Genomic DNA, 4116 nt, shown 5'->3' with positions numbered 1-4116 from the left:
TTACTTGCTACCTCCATTTTCTCACCTTTCTCAATTATTTCTGATCTGTATTATCCCTACACTGCTTCTTTAAAAATGCTTTCACCCAAACTACCCAAAATGTCCTGCTAATAGACGATTTTTAGCCCTTAATTTATTTGACTATTCTGCAGGATTTGCTCTTTTTGGCCATTCTCTCTTTTAAAACACTCTTCCCTTGGGCTCCATAAGGTCGCATTTTCCTCCTGCCTCTCGGGCTTACTCTTATTCTCCCTTCCTCCTTTTTTTTTTGAGACGGAGTCTCGCTCTGTCGCCCAGGCTGGAGTGCAGTGGCGCGATCTCGGCTCACTGCAAGCTCCGCCTCCAGGGTTCACGCCATTTTCCTGCCTCAGCCTCCCGAGTAGCTGGGACTACAGGCGCCCGCTACCACGCCCGGCTAATTTTTTTTGTATTTTTAATAGAGACGGGGTTTCACCATGTTAGCCAGGATGGTCTCGATCTCCTGACCTCGTGATCCGCCCGCCTCGGCCTCCCAAAGTGCTGGGATTACAGGCGTGAGCCACCGCGCCTGGCCTGTAAGACAGTCTTCTTAGCATGGCTCACAAGTCCCTTCATCATCAGGCCCCTGCTTCCTTTTCAAACATTAGCCCTTGCATTTCTCAGTTTGCACTTAATTTTCAAGGTACATAGAACTTCTTTCTGTCCCTTTCATGCTCTCCCTCCTCCAGTCCTTTGCACATACTATCTTTCTCCTCCTAAAACACAATCCCTAGTCTTCATCTAACTAACTCTCCTTCAACCTTTTTATATCTACTTAAATGTCACTTTCTCCAGGAAACCATCCTGAATTCCCAAGTTCACGTTTTATGTTCCTTCTATCTGCTCTCAAGGCGTCCTGTTCTCCAAAAGTTTCCTTAATTCTCTGCCTCCGCCAGTAGTACTCTGTTAAGTTTCAGGAGGGCAGAGACCATCTCTTTCTTGTTCATTATTGCACCAGAACAATTTAGCACAGTTCCAGGCACAAAGTAAAACTTTATAAATAAGCACAGTACATATTAGGTGCCAAAAATATTGTGGAAATTAAAAGAAAAGAACTGAAACAGTGCTAAAAACAAGTTATAGCGTAACTTAGCCAAACTGGAAGGAGGAGCATGAGATGCTATGGCTCAACTTTCTCCTAGTTTCCACCTCAGTTACTCTGTGAAATATAGACCTCCAACTCAAGAAATCATGGAGGGCCAGGTGTACCACATTTTCTTTATCCAGTCTATCACTGATAATCTTGTAATCCCAGCACTTTGGGACCCCGAGGTGGGAGGATTGCTAGAGGCCAGGAGTTCGAGACCAGCCTAGGCAACATAGCAAGACCTCATCTCTCCAAAAAATTTAAAAATTAGCCAGGTATGGTGGCTTGTGCATGTAGTTTCAGCTACTTGGGAGGCTGAGGCAGAAGGATAGCTTGAGCCCAGGGGGTCAAGCCTGCAGTGAGCCGAGATCGCACCACTGCACTCCAGCCTGGGTAACAGAGCGAGACCCTGTCTCAAAAAGAAAAAAAAAGAAATCATGGAGATAGCTTTCAACAAAAATGACAGAAGTTATGTAGGTCTATGGATAATGTTGCTGCCAAAATAATTTATAATTCATGAACTGATTTAGAGTTAGCCTTAATGACTTAGCTGTAAGTCCTCAAAGTCTAATAACAAATTTATGTAATTTGGCAACAGAACAGACAGGCCGTATCACAGGAGGTTAACTGCTGAGTCAAACAGCACATTAAAGTACAGTGAGTCTGGCCGCTCTCCTTCAAGTGGTGACTCAGAGACTTCCAGTCAGCAAGAGGGAGGGAGTAAGAAGCAGGGACAAGAAAGTGTGAAAGAACTCACATCTGCTACTTAATTGCCTTTCATTTATGTGCCACTGCTGAGAACTGGTGACATCTTCCTCTGTGACTACTTCTTTAAATCCACACCCCCACACACAACAGTAATTAACTATTTTCTCCTTGGGGCCACCACTTTTCTTTGTGCATGCATTAATTATCACACTCGTCACATTATACTACAATTACTTGCTCATACGTCTGTCCCTATTATACTGTAAGTACAGGGACCAAGTCTTTCCACTGCTGTGCTTTCAGAGCCTGCTATAACATCCAAGATGTACTAGGGGCTCTGCAAATGTGTGATGAAGAAATTAACACTCATATATGCATGCGAAGGAATCGCCAAGTCATGCAGAGCAAAACGTGAATGGTGACATTCTTTTGTTGCTTATGGAAGCCAGCAAATGAAGATAATATTTCCAAGCCAATAAATATGGCTCTGGGGCATCTAATCTTAATGCAGCTGTGACTACACAATTCATGAACAATTTCATTCTAATTTCAGATTAAGGTGAGGAGTCAAAGCAGTATTTTCTCATTTCTACTTATTCTTTTATACCTATTCATAAGTTTAAACCCAACGTGAGACACCCAGATAGAACAGCAAGCAGGAGTAAGTTCCTGACCAATGAAAAATCAACACAATGATGAGTTTATGCCAAGTTTATACAACTTTTTATGGCTGAGGATAGATTGAAATTTTGATTAATTTTTTTATCTCCTTTTTATAACGGTAAAATAGGTAAACTGGTTTTGTAAAAGAGCTTTTTAGGGAAAAAATGTTGAATATTCATACTTTTTCTCAATCAAAATGTCAATGCTTACACCAAAAATAGAGGTTTTTTTTGTTGTTGCTGCTCGTTTGTTTGTTTGTTTTTAAGACGGAGTCTCGCTCTGCATGCAGTGGCACAATCTCGGCTCACTGCAACCTCCGCCTCCCAGGTTCAAGCGATTCTTCTGCCTCAGCCTCCTGAGTAGCTGGGATTACAGGCGTGTGCCACCACGCCGAGCTAATTTTTGTATTTTTAGTGGACACAGGGTTTCACCATGTAGGTCAGGCTGGTCTTTAATTCCTGACCTCATGATCCGCCCACCTAGGCCTCCCAAAGTGCTGGGATTACAAGCGTGAGCCACCATGCCTGGCCCAAAAAAATGGAGGTTTCTAAGGAGCAGAAGACAATTAATATAACCTTTCCTAACCTGCCTGTTAAACTTTAAGTCATACATCTAGGGTCAATGCTCAAGTTTAACTATATATTCACAGTTCCATTCTTCGTGGCTCAATGCTGTTTATTTTATTAACCAGAAAGACACTAGGAATTAACATTTACTAAAATGTAACATAAGGTACTATGTTAGATCCTTTTTCTATGTCATCTTATTTACTCTCCCTAACAACTTCGTCAGGAGGTGCTATAGACCCTGGATGGGTTTTGGGCTGCCCAGCATCTGAATTCCCTTCATATGTTTGACGAATTCCCCATCTTTTGAGTCTTGTTGGGGGCAGAGTCTTCTTTCCCCTATAATGGCTGAAAACCCAGGTAGTCAGTTCCAAGACTCCCTTGCTACTAGGAAGTTATCTCCAGGCTTAGGCCCCATCTATCAGGTAAATTGATCCAGACTTCAGTCAGGAGCTAGTGACCCAGAGAAGCAAGTACTGGGAAGAATCTCAACTAATGAAATTATTACTGTGGTCACCTGGATAAATAATCCATCAAAGGGAAGTGTTGAGGGACAAAGTAGTCATAGACCAACATGAACAACTTGAGGAATTCAAGGACTATGGAATGGAGTGGTTTCCACTAAAGTCACCGGAAAGAAAAAAGACAATAATAAGCTCAAATTCTTATGATTTCCCCAATGACATGGACTGAAACCCAAAACTTTATATAATTTAAAAATAAAACATATATATTTTACAATTAAAAATTTTTTAAATAAAATTCTTATCTCTTTTGGAGACAGTCCAAAAAACACCACAAAGTTTGACTCTGTGGATCACCAAATTATTTGTTCAATCCACAGCTTGGTAAGATCTTTTGTGTGACATTTAGGACACTGAACAGGAAGAATTTAACCTTAAGTACTAATATGGTAGAATGTGGCAGACACAACCCCCACTCTCTCCCTCCTTGTCTGGTGAGTGTTTCATCCTCCCCTGAGGATCCTGCAACCTGGAGGAGGGATCAGGCCGGGGAAGCCAGTTCATCTCCTTCTCCGCCCACACTCACACCCCAATGCCCCCCACCTGCCCC

The sequence above is a fragment of the Homo sapiens genome, chromosome 1 (genome assembly GCF_000001405.40).
Source record: "Homo sapiens chromosome 1, GRCh38.p14 Primary Assembly".
NCBI classification, from domain to species: domain Eukaryota; kingdom Metazoa; phylum Chordata; class Mammalia; order Primates; family Hominidae; genus Homo; species Homo sapiens.
Note: the sequence above shows the minus strand (reverse complement) of the source record.